We start from the raw sequence: 17317 nt of genomic DNA on the forward strand, positions 1-17317 counted from the left end.
ATGCTGCCTCCAGGTGGCACCTGACACCATGTCTAGCAGGAGCCCAGAAAGCATGCCCTAAGGGGTCTGAAAGCCAGGATATACAAACCTGGATTGTGCCATAGAACTCTTCTCACTGGAAGTCATAGTTATTAAAAGCTAGTTGTCACTGCCCACCACAGAAAAGGGCTATGGATGAATTGGGACCATTTCCTCCCATCCTATCACACATTTTTGTCTCTGACAGTAACAGGGCTCAAAGTGCAGACTCTTAGAAGCTGGAGTCTGGAAAATCCTCAGAAATAGGAGGAAAAATGAAAACAAAGACATTTTTTCCCTCTAAAAGATACTACTTTAGAATCAACCTTGCATGCTTATTTTACTTTTAGTTACAATGTTGGTAAGGAGAAACAATACCTTTTGGAGTTCTTCAATTCCAACTTCATAAGTTGCTAAAGTAAACATAAAAAAATTATTTCAAGGCAGCTGATCCACCCATTTCTTATAGCACCCAGGATTAAAGCAGTTATAAAAGATTCCAGAATTCAGTTTTCTCACCTTTAAGAACATCAGACTATGTAAAGCTCTATCTAGAAAGTTTGGGAAATTATGGGGTCAGTGATCATGGTTTTAATTTCTGTGGGGATTTCCAGAATGGAATTTACAGTCGATGAAGCATGTGAAACCATTTCAGTTTCCTGTTTTGGCAAACAGATACACACTCCATGCTTAAAAGAAAGCACTAAAATTTAGTGGCAGCTCAGAAGGCAAACGTGAAAGGAAAGGAAAAGGAAAAAGCCTAAATCCCACTTCAACAAAATGAATTCTCTATCATGCCCCAAAGTGCTCTGTTCCACAGCCATTTTTATTTCCTTAAATACAGTTTGAAAACACGAGCACACCAACTAAGGCTGACCCACCTTTTGACTTTTCCAATAGTTCTGTGGATTTTATTTAATGACATGATGCCAATCTTAATTACAGTCATGCATCGCTTAACAATGGGGATCTGTTCTGAGAAATGCATCCTTAGGTGATTTCATCATCACGTGAATACCATAGAACATACTTATACAAACCTAGACGGTATAGCCTACTACCTTCCTAGGATATAGGGTATGGCCTATTGCTCCCAGGCAACAAAACTGCATAGCATGTTACTGTACTGAATACTGTAGGTAATTGTAACACAGTTATAGATAGTTGTGTATCTAAACATAGAAAAGGTACAGTAAAAATACAGTATTATCATCTTATGGGACCACGGCTGGATACACAATTCATTGTTAACTGAAACATTGTGTAGCACATGACTATATTAATAAATACAAGTAATGACAAGAATTTGAGTTCAAACACTGTTCTGCCACTCCTACATAGGGTGTTTCAGACAAATTACTTCATTTCTTTGAGCCTCAGCTTGCTCATCTATAAAAATTGACCAATTGGTACCTGCCTTACAGAGTTAATGGGGAGATTCAAGGAAATAATTTAAGAAATTTGGCCAGGTGTGGTGGCTCATGCCTGTAATCCCAGCACTTAGGGAGGCCAAGGCAGGTGGATCACAAGGTCAGGAGTTCAAGACCAGCCTGGCCAAGAGAGTGAAACACTATCTCCACTAAAAATACAAAAATTAGTCAGGCACAGTGGCAGGCCTATAATCCCAGCTACTCTGGAGGCTGAGGCAGGAGAATTGCTTTAACCAGGGAGGCAGAGGATGCAGTGAGCCGAGATCGCGCTACTGTATTCCAGCCTGGGCAACACAGTGAGACTCCATCACAAAAAAAAAAAAAAAAGGAAATTTAACATACCTAGCAGAACACTGGACATTGTATAGAAAATGGCAATGTTTTTTGATAAAATTGCTTGGTTGGTTTTCTTTGCTTAAAAGTTATTTATAAAAGTTTTATCCCTACTGTTAATGAACATATGTGCATAAAAGGACTCCTCCCTCTGTTTTTCTCTTTCTTGCTGCTAAAGTCCTGAAGCTTTAGAAAACTGACTGAACAATATGTTGCATTTCCAAGCTTTTATTATTCTAAACATATAATACACTGACAAAATCAATGAAATGCTAGGTTTTGTTTAGGGACTGTCAGCATATAATTGTTGACACAGACCTAAAATTCTACATGGATAATTAATAATATGTATTTCAACTTGGGTAATTGTACACATAATACTTTAAATTAGGTAATTGTACACTTATTAATACTTTAAAAATACCTGTTTGTGATACAGTTTGCCCAATATCCATTCCTGATATGAATTTGCTTTCCAATTTTAAAAATAATAATCTCCTCCTTTCTACTCCAATTTATTTACTTGTCTATGCTTTTCAAAAACAAATCATGAGCTCATTTGCTTCTCCTAACCACCTTGAGATGGATATTATTACTTATTCTGTCTTAGAAATGATGAAACCAAAGCCAGGAGAAGCCTTACTTGCCATGGCTAGTAAACAAAGATAATACACATTCAATTAATAACGTATTCATAATGTTGTTACTGCTTTTTAACAAAGTGGAGGTTCTTTCGTGGCAAGCTAAGCTATCCAAACTTAGGTAGGAATTCCAACATATATTCCAAGGTAGGAATATAGAGGATAAAGGGCTACATCCCAAAGGATCAGAAATGGACTAGGAATTATGACAAGAGCATGTGATCTGCAGCATCAGAGTCCTCGCTTACTTTCTGCACAGAGTTATATAACCCTCTCTCCACTGATTAGTTTTATTGTGCAGGCAGAGAAAGGACAAATATCTGAAGATGGTCCTCAGCAATCCTCCAACTGCTAGTGTCACAACACGGTCATGTCTTGGAGGCCTTTTGTTCCTTCTCCTCATCCTGTCTGTATGATCTTGGAAAAGTCCCATTACCTCTTTTACACCTGGAGGTGAAATGTTTATTACTAACATAATAAAAATAATAATTTAAAAGAAACTAACATTTTTTATACTTATAGATAGCAGGCACTATGCCAAGCATTTAAATGCATTATTTCATTTAATTCTCAATGACAATCACTACTAATATTCCAATTTTACTGACGAGGAAACAGCCAGCCAGACAAGTGAAGTAAATTGTCTAAGATCACTCAGGTAAGAAACGGCTTGCAAATTTTCTTCCATCCATGGCTTTATTAATTTAAATGGAATGTTATGCAGAAGTGTAAACACAAGTCTGAAGGTATCTGCGAGAGTCTCCAAGACTCTTCAAAAAATTCTCTGGGGCCTAGAAGTACAGTCTGCAAAGCACTAGTCTATATGACCTCTGAGGACAATTCTGCAGAGCTTTTAGAACAGCCTGAATCATGTATGCCCAATGCCAAGTTCTGTATAAAAGAGATGAAACCTCACCAAAGGCACCAGTGCTGAGCTAAGCACTAAACAAGGATGGTCTTCCCTGTTTTCTTGGCCTTGTTCAAGGGACAGTCACCCAAAGGCAACAGCAAAAGCCAACCACCTTGACCTCTTTCTCCTTCCTTCCCTCTCTCCTTCCCTTCCGTCTCTCTCTCCCTGCCTCTTTGAAAGGTATCATTTAGATGTCTCACCTTTGGTGTACAAAAAACAAAGAGGAAACATTCATTTTAAGTTAACTTTTGTATAAGGTGTGAGACTTAAGCCAAAGTTTATTTTCGTTTACCTATGGCAATTGGTCCAACACCATTTTTTAAAAGGCTGTGTTTCTTCTATTGAGCTGCCTTTACATCTTTGTTAAAAAAAATAACAACAACAGTTGGGCATATCTGTATAATTCTATTTCTGAATTCTCAATTCTGTTCCATTGTTCTACGTGTCTCTCTTTGCCAATACCAGATAGTCTTGATTATTATACTGATAATTCTTAAAACTGATATACTAATGCCTCCCTTTTATTTTTCAAAATTGTTTTTAGGTATTCTAACTCCTTTGCCTTTCTATATGCATTTTAGGATAATCTTGTCTGTATCTGCAGAAGATCCTACTGGGATTTTTATAGGAATTTTATTAAACCTGTGTATCATTTTGAGATAATTGACATTTTTACTGTTAATTTTACTGTGTTGTGTCTTCCGATCCATAAACATGGTATGTCTCTCCACTTATTTAGATTTTCTTTGATTTAATCAGAATTTTATAGCTTTAAGCTTTTAGGCCTTATCATGCTTTGTAGGATTTAAATATAAACACATATCTATTTTTAAGCAATTATAAATGATATATTTTTCAATTTCAGTATTTGTATGTTCATTCCTGATATACAGAAATATAATTGATTTTTTTGTACATTTATTTTGTATCCTACAATCTTTCTGAAATCATTTATTAGTTCTAGGAGGGTTTTTGTGTGCTTTTTTGGTAAATTTCTTGGGAATTTCTATCTAGATAATCATGCCACTGTGAATAGATAGTTTTATTTATTCCTTTTCTATCTGTATACATTTTATTTCCTTTGCTTGCCTTATTGCACTAGCTAGAACGTCCAGCACTATGTTGAATAGCAATGGTAACTGCAGACATCCTTGCCTTGTTACCGGTAGTAGGGGAAAAGCATTCAGTGTTTCACCATTAAGTATCATGATTAGCTGTAGGCTTGCTGTACATGTTCTTAATCAAGTTGAGGAAGACAATAGAGTCCCCATCTATTCCTATTTTATGACAGTTTTTTAAATCATAAATGGAGGTTGTATTTTGTTAAATTATTTTCTGCACAGATTGTCTAATTTTTCTTCTTTATCCTGCCAATATGGTGATTTTGTTGATTTTTGAATATTGAACCAGCTTTGCATCTCTGCACCCTTATATACCACAACCAAATGAAGAATAAATCACACTTGATCATAAAGAATAATTCATTTTCTATGTTGCTGAATTCTATTTGCTAATATTTTGTTGAGGAGTTTTATGACTATGCTAATTAAGGATATTGATCTGAAGTTTTCTTCTTTTGTACTGCCTTTGTCTAGTTTTGATATCATGGTCATGGTAATACTAGCTTTAAAAAAATGTGTTTTCTCCTCCATTTTTGGGAAAGATTGTATAAAATTGGTATTAATTCATCTTTAAATGCCTGATAGAATTTTTCAGGGAAATCACCTGACTTAGAGTTCATTTTGGGGGAGTTTTTAAACTATGCATTCAGTTTTTCTTGAGAGTTACAGGGCTAATCAAATTATTTATTTTGAGTGAGTTGTGGTAATTTGTGCTTTTTGAGGAATTGTTCCTTTTTTTATCTAAGTTGTTAAGTTTAAATGTGGAGAGTTGTTCATAATATTCCCTTATTATTGTTTTGATATCTACAGAGTCTATAATGATATCCCTGCTTCAGTCTTAATATTATATCTTTTTTCTGTTTCTTTTTCAGCCTTGCTAGAAGTTTATCTATTTTTTCAGCCTTGCTAGACGTTTATCAATTTTTTCAACCTTGCTAGAAGTTTGTCAATTTTATTGATTTTTTTTCAAAGAACACATCTTTAATTCCACTGATTTTCTCTATTGTTTTTTGTTTTCATTTCATTTCATTTATTTCTAATCTTATCCTTATTGTTTCCTTCCTGCTACTTGCTTTCAAGAATTTTTCTCTGTCTTTAAGAAGTTTGATTATGACTCTTCGCGAGATTGCATTTCTTTTAGATTTGCTTGGTTTCTTGAATCTGTTGTCATATTATGTCTATTTTTTTTTTTTTTTAGATGGAGTTTTGCTCTTATTGCCCAGGCTGGAGTGCGATGGTGTGATCTCAGCTCACTGCCACCTCTGCCTCCTGGGTTCAAGAGGTTCTCCTGCCTCAGCCTCCCAAGTAGCTAGAATTACAGGTGTCCACTGCCACACCCAGCTAATTTTTTTTGTATTTTTAGTAGAGACGAGGTTTCACCATGTTGGCCAGGTTGGCCTTGAACTCCTGACCTTAGGTGATCCACTCGCCTCGGCCTTCCAGAGTGCTGGGATTACAGGTGTGAGGCACCGCTCCTGACCCATATTATGTCTTTTGCCAAACTGGGGGAGTTTTCAGTCACTATTTCTCCAAGTACTTCTTCAGTCATGCACGCCTTCTCTTCTCTTTCCAGAAGTCTAATGACATGAATGTTAAATCTTTTGTTATAGTCTCACAATTTTTTGAAGCTCTTTTCATTTTTTTTTTCAGTTTATTTTCTCCTTGTTCAGATTTGGTAGTTACTATTGTTTATTTTTAAGTCATTGACTCTTTTGTCCCTCCATTCTGCTGTTGAGCACATCCACTGACCTTTTTATTTTTTAGTTCTAACATTGTCATTTTTTTTTTTTACATTTCTCTTTCTCTATAGAGACATTTTATTTCTTTGATAAGACTTTTCTTCATTTATTTCAAGCATGTCCATAACTATGCATTGGAAAATTTTATAAAAGCTGCTTTAAAGTCTTAGTCAGAAAATTCTAGTATTTCAGCCATCTCAATTTTGGCAGATATATTTTTTTTTTCAGCTTCAGCTGCCGTAACAAAATACCATAAATTGCATGGCTAATAAATAACAGAAATTTATTCCTCACAGTTCTGGAGGCTGGAAGTTCCAAGATCAAAGTGACAACAGATTCCTGGTTCATAGACAGCTGTCTTCTCACTGTGCCCTCATATGGAGAAGAAGAAAGCAATCTTTATTGGGATGCTTGTAAAGACACTAATCCCATTTGAGAGGGCTCCACCCTCATGACCTCATGTAATACTAACTACCTCCTAAAGATCTCACCTCCTAAATACCATCGCATTGGGGGTAGGTTTTCAGCATTTTAGAGGTAACAAGCAATCAGTTCATAACAATACCCAAGTGAGAAAACAGCACCTCATCACTGCTGGGCAGAAGTAGGAAGGAGTTTGGCTCTCCAGTAGGCTTCTGCTGATAACATCTTAGCTGGAAAGAGTAGGAGTGCCCTGTTATTACTTCCCATATGGCCTTTGCTGACACTACAAGGAGAGGGTGGCCTTCTTACTGCTGGGTGGTTATGAAGATCCTTTCTACTAGGTCTCCTCTGACACCATCCTTTGAGGTAGGGAGAAGGGCATCTTGTTACTGCTGGAAGGGGAGTGAAAGTCAAAGTTCCTCACATAATCTTTATGGACACTAAGTGGAATTTTATTACCACCTGGCAGGGGTGGAAATCCCAGCTCCCTACTTGACCTTCTCTGACATCACTCCAGTGGAGGAGTTGGGTGCATCATTGCAGCCTGCTGAGGGTAGATGTCCAAGCTCCCCATTCAGCATTGCTGTTGGTGGTGGGCCACATTTTTTTCTATGATGTTTGGCTGGAGTAGACTAGTTATTGTCTAGAGGTTTTCTGTCTTTCTAGGTTGCCCTTTTCCTGGTCGTTTGGCTAGAAAGAGCAGGCTTCAGCTGAAGCTGTTGTTGTGCCCACTGGTGTTTCTGAGTTGCTAACTTTTTTACCTCCAAAACTGACATATTCGAGGCAAGAAGAAAACCAGGGAACTCACCACCTTATCCTTCCTTGGGGCCTGATGTCCCTAGCTGGTCTACCTTCTTCTCTCTACCTTTCAGAGTCATCTAGTCTTCTTATGTTTGTTTTACATACATAATGCCTGGGGCTTTTAGCTGTACTTAGCAGGAGCAATAGGACAAAAGTACATCTGTTCCATCTTCCCAGAAACAGAGGTCCACTTCACTTGAAATGAGCTACTTGCAGGGGGGTGGATTCTAGGGGCATCACGTGGTCCAGAGAGAGAAGGAGCAGGCTCTGATTGGAGCATCCATTTGGCTCTGTGAATTCTTAGCCTTGTAGAAGGACATATAGTTGGAACGTGGCCCAAATGGTGCCCACTGCCTTTCTTTCAAAGTGTGGTCTGTAGACCAGCAGCATTGATATCACCAAGGAACTTGTTAGAAATGCACAATCTCAGACTCCATACCGGAGCTGCTGAACCAGAATCTACATTTTAACAAGATCCCTGCATGACTTGTATGAACGCTAGAAATTGAGAAGCCCTGCTCTAAAGAAGGGGTCCATATACTCTGAGTATGGGGCAGCACTGCATTTTGGGGGTGCTGGGCAGGGTCAAGAGTTGCTCTTCCTATGGCTAGTATTTTACAAACCATTTAGGAGAATCTAGACTGCCCAGTCTAAAAGAGAGGCAGTTTTTCTAATAGTTCTCCAACCCCTTATTTCTTTTTTTTTCTTTTTTTTTTGAGACGGAGTCTCGCTCTGTCGCCTAGGCTGGAGTGCAGTGGCGCGATCTCGGCTCATTGCAAGCTCCGCCTCCCAGGTTCAAGCCATTCTCCTGCCTCAGCCTCCCGAGTAGCTGGGACCACAGTCTCCCACCACCACCACACCTGGCTAAATTTTTTGTATTTTTAGTAGAGACGGGGTTTCACCGTGTTAGCCAGGATGGTCTCGATCTCCTGATATCGTGATCCGCCCATCTCGGCCTCCCAAAATGCTGGGATTACAGGCGTGAGCCACTGCGCCCGGTCCCAACTCCTTATTTCTTGAGGGAGAAGAGGGAAATTTCAGTAGGTCCTGATCCTTACCTCATGAACTTCCTAAGTATGTATTCCCAGGAAAATGACTTCCTTTCCCAGAACCTTGAGGTTCTTGTCTATACAATGAAGAAGTTTTTAGCCCTGCTTTCAGGGAAGCCAAACTTCCTTGAATAAGAAGTAGCATAAACTTGTGGAAAAAGCATAGAATTTAGAGGTAGCCTGAGCCTGTTTCACATTATAACTCTATTCCATGTTATATTTATGGCCTCGTGCAACTCAATCTTTCTGATGTTCAGTTTCCTGTATCAAACATTAGGGGTGATCAAACCACTCTATCAGCAGGGCTGTACATGGGGAACCTAACACAGAACTACAGTATCCTATAGTACAAGCTCACTAAATACTAGTGTTTATTCCAGCACTAAAATGTGTGCCTTTTATAGAGAACTGGCTGATACTATAGGCAGAACAAGGACATTGTACCTTGTAGAAATGCAATAATCTCTGCTCCCTCATCTTTTTACATGAGAAGGTCTCTTTACTCACAAAAATGTCCCGAGCATTGTCAGCAATGCCAGAGGCAGGAAGACTTAGCTCTGAGCCAGTGGTCAGATCCATTAAATAAATCCCCTGCTCCTATTCAGACTGAACACAGGGGCCTAATTCTCATGGTCTGTTATCTCACTCTCCACACACCAAGTAACCAGGGAACTTCAAGAAAGACACCAGGAGAAAAGAGATGAAGTTTCTATAGGAAGAGAAGGAAGAAAAATGAATCATCATATCTTGATTTTCCCTCCCTCATATCTACAAAAGGCAAAGCAGCTGAGTCGATTGGTAAAGGGGAGAAAAGAAGAGGCTGGGAAGGCAGCAATAGCTATTGTGAGATAGCACTGATGCCCAGCTGGATTTATTTATATTTTTAAGAGACCAGACACAGAAAAAAAAAAGAAAAAGAAATAAGATGGTTGTGCAGGATGGCTGTGCATTTTTAAACTTACAGTTAGCTAAAGGGAAAATATCATTTTTGACACATTTTCATTCCACACAGGGTTACACTATTAATTGGCTTAGCAGACTTACGATCAGCAATTTCTTTTGCAGTGCACAGGTTAATGGAGTTGCCAGAGTGTCTCAGATATGAAATTGTTGCCTCGTAATTATGTGGTTCTTCAAATTCTGCATTGAAAAGCCTGGAGAAAAAAGGGTTACTTAAAATGTAACATTTTTAAAAACATATTTTGAAAGCTTTTTGTATTTTTTCCTCATTAGAGAAATAATATGTGTGTCTGGCCAATATGGTGACCTAAGCATATATGGGAGGCACACTACCCCTACTCCAAATGCATAAGAATTCTAGATGAAAGATGGCAATGCAAAGACTTGTGTAAAGATTATACAGTCCACACAGAAATCAATAAAGCAAAATCCCCAGGTGCCAGACATACAGAGGAAATTCACAATTAAAGATGCAAGTGAGAACTGCAGTCAAGGAACACAAAGGGAAATTGAGACCAGATAAAGAGAAATCTTAATGACTGGGCAGCTGGGGATTTAATGTCTGAGTCAGAAGGTAAGTCTGAACCATAAGCCTCATCTGAATAGGAAACTGAAATGGAGCTATCAGCATCAAGTCCAGAGTTACAATATGCTGTTCCATCTGTAAAACGAGTACTAAACGTATCCGTCCACTCTCCCAGGGAATGAGCTTGGAAGTTTGCTATCTGACTATGGCCATAGGAACTGAAAGAGTCACCAATGAGAAATCAGAAACTTGAAAACCCAGCACCAAATACAGAGGTGGGGTTTAATAAACAATCTGCTCATTTCAGAGACACAAAGCCAAAATTGATGATTGAAATTCAAATCCCTCTTCTAAAGGCAAATCTGAAATTATTCTGTAAAGATGCTTCCACAATCCACGGCACCTGTAGTTTCCAAAGAAAACAAATTCCCACTCAAAATAAGCTGATAGTGAAAACTGAAAATCACACAAGGAGATGAGCTGCAGTAAGATAGTCAGAAGGCATAACTAATGGGGGACCTAAATAATAGAATAACATGAACGTTAATTTAAAATACATGTGTTTTTAGTATTCCAAGAAATAAAGTGAAGAATAAAAGCCATTAGGTAAAAACAAGAGACTGAGGGAAAAGAATGCCCTATAGATTTGGAGAAAGGAGTTATAGAGATCATAAAATATAGTTCTTAAGATAAAAAATTTAATGTAGAGGCTGAAAAGTAGACTAGATGCAGCAGTAGAAGGAATTGGTGAATTATTATCATTAGTATTATTATTATATATTTTTTGAGACAGGTTCTCATCCTGTCACCCAGGCTGGAGTACAGTGGCGCAATCTCAGCTCACTGCAGCCTCAACCTCCCAGGCTCAAGCAATCCACACACCTCAGCCTCCTGAATAGCTGGGACTACAGTTGTGTGCCACCACACCCAGATAATTTTTCTGTGTGTTTGTAGAAAGGAAGCCTCGCCATATTGCCCAGGCTGGTCTCGAACTCCTAGGCTCAAGTGATCCACCTGCCTTGGCCTCCCAAAAGTACTAAGATTACAGTCATGAGCCACTGGCCTAGAATTGGTGAATTATTTAGATATGAGGACGTTACCCAGAATGTAGCATAGAGAGATAAAGAGATAGAAAATATTTAAAAAGAAGAGATAGGGAGGATAGAATGAGAAAGTCCAACATACATATATTAAGGATTATAAAAAGAAAGAAGAAAGAGAATGATGTAAAGGAGTCAATATTCAAATTATAATAGCTATACTATTATTTTCCATAATAATAATATGGAAAGTAGTGGAAGAGGGCTATGAAAATTATTCTCAAGTCTTTGCATTATTTACGAGCAGGATGGAGATTTTGATTAACATTAGACTTTGTAAATTATAGATGTCAAAATTTAATTGTAACTACTAAAAAAATAGAAATAGAATATTTAACTTCTAAACTGGCAGAAGGGAAAAATGCAATGAGAAAGCTTAAATATTTTTTAAAAAGGAGGAAAGAAAAAAATGCAATTATAGAAATTGCATAGTAAATCTTAATTGGGAAAATTCCAAATAGGTCAAGGATTGTAATAAATGTACATAGATTAAGCTATTCCAATAAAATAAAGAGTATCTGAATTGATATATTTTTTAAAAGCAGCAGACAAGCCAAAGATCCAAGGTAAATGGATGGAAAAGACATACAAATCAAATAGTACCAAAGAAAACTGAAGCAGGTATATTAATATTAGACCAACTTCAGTGTGACTGATGAAGAAAATGAGAAAGGGTACACACGAATGCGTATACACCGACACAAATTAGAGATAAGAAAGGAAACAAAACTAGAGATAGTTTTAGGCTTTCAGAAATCTAAGAAAGTGTTATGATCAGCTCTCTACCAGTAACTTTAAAAATTTAGAGAAAATTGGCAACTTTATGGGGAAGTAGAAAATTACCATACCGACTGAGAAAGAAACACAAAAACTAATAGGCCAATAAATCATTAAAGAACTTTTATCAGTAGTACACACCTCCACTCTTCCCTGTACCTACCTCCACCCTAACTCGCCTCTCTTCTTGCTCTCTACCAAATAGTTTTATAGACAAGTTTTAATGAGCTGTTTTAGAGGATAGAAAAAGAGGAAAAGCTACGCTACTCGTTTTAAGAAGATAATACAATTTTGAAATGAAGACTACAAAATGATCAAAGAATAAGAGAAAATTTACTCCAATCTCACTTCAGAGATTTTAGCCCAAATTCACTAAATGCTGAAAAATGAATTAATCAGTTTTAAAAATAACTCAAGAATAACTGAAATTTATTCCGAGACCTCAAGGATGGCTTAACATCAGAAAATCTATTATTGTAATTAATCACATTGTTTCAATAAAAGTGAAAAAGGTTATTTTAATATGCAAAAAAGCATTCCAGGGAGATAAACGCTCTTCACTAGATTACCCTCCAACAAATAACATACTTAATAGTAAAGTGTAACAAATAATATTTAGACTCTATCAGGAACTTTGGCAATAAGAAAAAGACAAACCCATAGAAAATTGGACGAAAGTATATTCCAGTCATCACTGAAGAGTCAAATTGAATAGCTTATAAAGGTAAACTCCTAACCTCATAGTGAACAGGGAAATGGAAATCAAGATAACGAAAATTTAGTTCACATTCATCAGATTAGCTAGAATCTCAGTTTGAAAATAATACCTTATTTGGCAAGAATATGGAGAAATAGGAAATCTTTACACTGCTTTGAGAGTATGAATTGTCACAACCATTTTGGAGAATAATTTTTCAATATCTAGTAACACTGAAGTTGATTAGTTAGTATTGTTTAGCAATTCTACTTCTAAGTAAATAGCTTTGAGAAACTTGCTTATATTTACCTACAAATATAGGAGAATGATTACTGAAGCATTATTTGAAATGGTAAAAATTTACAACAATCTGCATGTTCCTTAGCGAGAAAATGCATAAACAAATTGGGATGTGTTCATATGAGGAAATACAATACAGCAATTATGATGAACAAATGACATATACATCAACATAGATAGAATATGAAAACACAGCTTCGTAAAAAAAAGTTGCAGAAGGATAACATAAGGTGTCATTTATACAAAAATTTAAAAACTATATCCTTAACAGATACATGAGTTTATAGCTCAAACGTAAGAACATACTAAATGGATACACTCACAAATTCATGATTGGAGTTGCCTCTGCAAAGGGAGAAAGGGAAATGGAATTATGGAGTAAATTCATAATCTTTTCCCCTCTGTACTGTCCGCATTTGGTATGAGGTAGTTCCATTTGCTATAGATGCAGTTGAAGGGGACTAGAGTTAGGGTTAGGGTTAGGGTTAAAGGTGAGGTTAGAGTTGAAGCGACTTCAGCTGCATCACAACTACATCACAGCACATGTGGATAGTATCAAAGAGAAAAAATTACACATAACCTCTGAACGTTAATACAAACGAGGTCTTAGCATTTGGTAGTCTTCCTGATTTTTCATTTATATGTGTATTCACATAGTTGTTAGACAGTGAAAAAGTTGGAGTTCTCTTTTTTCCCCTCATTTATTATAATCATAAGCACATTCCACCCAATTGTTTTCTCTCCGTTGACTATTTTGCATATTTTCTAGTTTTTTTTGCATAGTTGCATATTTTCTAGAAAATATTTTGCATATTTTCTAGTTTTCTTTTGTGTATATTCTCTGTAATAATTCTAAAGATGTAATAGTTCATTTTGCTGAAAAAGAAAAATTATAAACTCCAATGCATCAGTAACTTCTCTCATATTTTTGTTCCCCTCCCCCTTCATAAAGTAATCAAGAGAAACTTTCTTAAATTATAGGCTATGCCATAGAGCTCATGCTTCAATGGCCTAACAATCTCATTTGGTCTATGGTAAATTAATTTTATTAATAAGAAACAATTTGGGGAAAAATTGAAAGATGTCTAATCAATTTCTTAGACCACTTTGGTCAAAAATGAATAAATATCTCATTTCAGATAATTATAAAGAAAATTTTACCAAAGTTTCCAAAAAGGCATCTTTAGGATCAATTGTCTTTGCAGAGAATCAGTGCTGGGATTATTGTTAAGAGGAAAAAAGAAGGTTGCAGATGTATTTTAACCTCCTTTTTTGTTACCTGAGAATGTCTTTTACCTTTATCCCTGGTCCATTAAAACTAGATCTGAGATCCACCTTGATTTCATACAATGTGGATCAATATACAGAACTTGGATTGGAGGGACGAAATAACTCTATGATTTAAATCTATGCTTCAACTTCTTTATTTCCACATTTATGAAAAATGTGTCTACAGGACTATAGACACTACTGGGAGGCAGCACAGAATATGAGACAGACCTGGAACATGGGGTCAGACAGATTTGAATTTGAATCCTAGCTCTCTTCTACATTCTAGTTATAAAGAACTGGGTAAATACCTTAAGCCTCCATTTCCTGCTCTATAAAACAGTTATAATAAAATCTACTTTAAAGGCGTATTATGGATATTGAATGAAATATTTGCCCTCTGCACATAGGCATTCCACAAAAGTGTGCTGGTAATATTAGTGTATTAGAGGACAGAAATATTGTATTTTAAAATAAGTTTTGAGGTTTACATCTTGTAAAATTTTTTATTAGTGGCATAGCATCAGGTTTCTAACTTTTCTTACTTCCTTACAGAAAACCTCCAGTTATTTATACACTACATTATAAAACGTTAATGTTTCTTAGTGATATTTTCGACATTATCTATGTTCAAGAAGCAAACACAGCTCCTTAAATGCAATATAAGTGTTAAAGATGATTTACAAAACCAGAAAATTTCTAATTTTGTTTGGACTCCTGGAAATCCTATCTTCAAAAATAAATGTTTAAACAAATGGGATCTCTCTAGCTAAAGCATGGACAAGTGACCTCTCATGGTTGTTTCCATTTGCCATGTCTACCTCTGGTCCACAGCCCTGAAAGGTCCCCGCAGAATCCCTCATTGTCCTTTGGAGAATAATTAGTTAACCTCTGTATTAGGCTGTACGCTCTAGAGAAGTTGCTCATGCACCTCATTCAAACATCTGTCCACTTGGTCAAACAGTGAGATTATTAATCACATTAATAGCTACCATTTCTTGAGGGCTTACCATGTGTTAGACACCGTGCATAGATTCATTATATGCACCTCTCATTGGCTGTGTGGTCTTGAGCAGTCATTTAGGTTCTCAGAGCCTTCATTTCCTCATAGAGTCACTGTGAGGGTTTAGTGTGGGAATAACTGAATCACAATGTGGAAAATGCCTGACAGGCGAGTTTCCTTTCACAGGAGAAGACTCCTGTGCCACACTGCATGATGATGACTCAAAAAGTTTCATTGGAAGAAAGTTCTAGAAGATCTAAAGAAGAGCTTTCATTAAGTAGAAAGATTGAGACTTGAACAACAAAACCTGTTAGCCATACTTGTATATTTATTTTGTTAGGTTGAAAACACAGTTTCTTCCACTTAATATTTCAATGGGCCATGCATTTTGGAGACAGGATGAACAGGAGTAGCTTAGTCAGCATTTGCTCTGTGTAACATTCTACAGGTTCCTGGTGACAAGGGAATGTGACACCATCTGATTTCTCAATTGTCCAAAGTCCCAAACTGGACAAATTTCTATTTCCAGTAAACAAATTAAGAATACCCTACTCATAGCCCTTCACCCTAAGAAATCCTTCCCTTGAATGAAATGATTGGTGATTAAACTTTTAAAAGTGACATCCATACTAAATAAAATGGATCTCAAAATTCATTTGTGCCAGGTTCAAAAAAATATATGATGAATTTGGAGTGATTTTTTTTCATAAGCTACTAAAACTTGTTTCGTATACATATTAGATAATGGTTAGAGATGAACAATCAATGAATCAGTAGAGCAGAATGATTCAGAGAAACATAGGCTTCAGAAAGACAGAGGTGGCAGTGAATCTCACCTCTACCAGTCTGTGACCTTGGGTGGGTGGTTCGACCTAAGTCTCTTCACCCTTTAATCCTCTTTATATGAGAATGAAATGATATAATTTATGCCATGCTTAGCGTAGTGCTTGGCATAAAGCGTTTGCTACTTCTGCTTCCACTAGTACTACTTCCACTTTCACTTTTGTACTATTTTCCCTTTTACAATTCTACTACTTGTCCTTTCGAATTCTACCACCACCTTCACCACTAGTTCTCCTGCTTCTACCATTTTACAGAACACACACATATGTGTGCATACATATACATCTTTTTATGTAATATATATTTTCATTTGTGTATATATGTTTTTACATAAATATACGTACATGTATACACGCATACACACAATCCTACCACCACATGTACCATAACCTTACTGTGATGGTTAATATTGAGTGTCGACTTGATTGGATTGAAGGATGCAAAGTATTGTGCCAGGGTGTGTCTGTGAGGGTATTACCAAAGGGGATTAACATTTGAGTCAATGGACTGGGAGAGGAAGACCCACCCTTAATCTGTGTGGGCACAATCTAATCAGCTGCTAGTGCAACTAGAATAAAATAATAGACTGCCTGAGTCTTCTGGCCTCTATCTTTCTCCCATGCTGGATGCTTCCTGCCCTCAAACATTGGACTCCAAGTTCTTCAGCTTTTGGACTCTTGGACTTAAACCAGTGGTTTGCCAGGGCTCTCAGGCCTTCAGCCACAGACTGAAGGCTGCACTGTCAGCCTTCAAAAAGTAGGGATACTTTTGAGATTTTGGAATTTGGACTGGCTTCCTTGCTCCTCAGCTTGCAGATGGCCTATTGTGGGACTTCACCTTGTGATCATGTGAGTCAATACTCCTTAATAATCTCTCGTTTATATATACATCTACCCTATTAGTCCTGTCCTTCTAGAGAACCCTGACTAATCCACTTACCAATTCTACTATGACTTCTACTACAACAACATACAACAAATAGAGCTTCTCTCAGCCCTGGGCACTAGGTATTTCTTTTTTCTATTCATGTATATGTAACCCAGTTATTTCTACAAAGGACCACAAAACCATGATCACCAAGTAAATGTTATTAAAGTGCCACATAACCTTACAAAATATGCCGTCCACTCTGGCTTTAACTTAACTCTGAAGCTACATTGTCAAACCATTGATCTCATTCATAAGGCAGGCATGGGAAGGCATGTAAATCATAATAACAGCTGATAATTGTTACCTGCCAAGCACTGTTTCAATTACATGTATCAATCTTTGGCTCTATGAAATAGATACTATTATTCTTTCCACAATCAGATGAAGAAACTGAAGCATGATGCAAGCTCACAGAGTAGTTAGCAGCAGAGATAAGAAGCCAGATAT

General features: G+C 36.9%; 1 protein-coding gene across 20 annotated transcripts in view, besides 1 other annotated feature; it reads right to left on the reverse strand.

The window, feature by feature from the left end:
• Nucleotides 1-17317, reverse strand: part of FYB2 (FYN binding protein 2) — a 108126-nt gene that overhangs the window by 39531 nt on the left and 51278 nt on the right. For 14 of the 20 annotated variants that reach the window (XR_007095697.1, XR_007095698.1, XR_946570.2 and 11 more), the window contains 3 exons: nucleotides 9510-9619; nucleotides 6487-6564; nucleotides 397-431 (listed from right to left, as the gene is read on the reverse strand). Coding sequence is in view for 15 of the 20 variants with exons in the window: in XM_047448402.1 (XP_047304358.1) it covers nucleotides 397-431; nucleotides 6487-6564; nucleotides 9510-9619 (223 nt within the window). In the remaining 5 variants the exon portion in view is untranslated. Of the gene's footprint in view, nucleotides 1-396; nucleotides 432-3532; nucleotides 3596-6486; nucleotides 6565-9509; nucleotides 9620-15104; nucleotides 15211-17317 lie in introns of those variants that run through there. The other 6 variants (XM_047448400.1, NM_001004303.5, XM_047448403.1 and 3 more) reach the window with 4 other exon arrangements.
• Nucleotides 6292-6846: an enhancer, noted in NCBI's record as "NANOG hESC enhancer chr1:57230284-57230838 (GRCh37/hg19 assembly coordinates)". NCBI's record gives its function as "activates a minimal SCP1, AML or CMV promoter by ChIP-STARR-seq in naive H9 embryonic stem cells {active_cell/tissue: H9 hESC(naive)}" and the evidence as "EXISTENCE:reporter gene assay evidence [ECO:0000049][PMID:30033119]".

The sequence above is a fragment of the Homo sapiens genome, chromosome 1 (genome assembly GCF_000001405.40).
Source record: "Homo sapiens chromosome 1, GRCh38.p14 Primary Assembly".
In the NCBI taxonomy this organism is placed as follows: domain Eukaryota; kingdom Metazoa; phylum Chordata; class Mammalia; order Primates; family Hominidae; genus Homo; species Homo sapiens.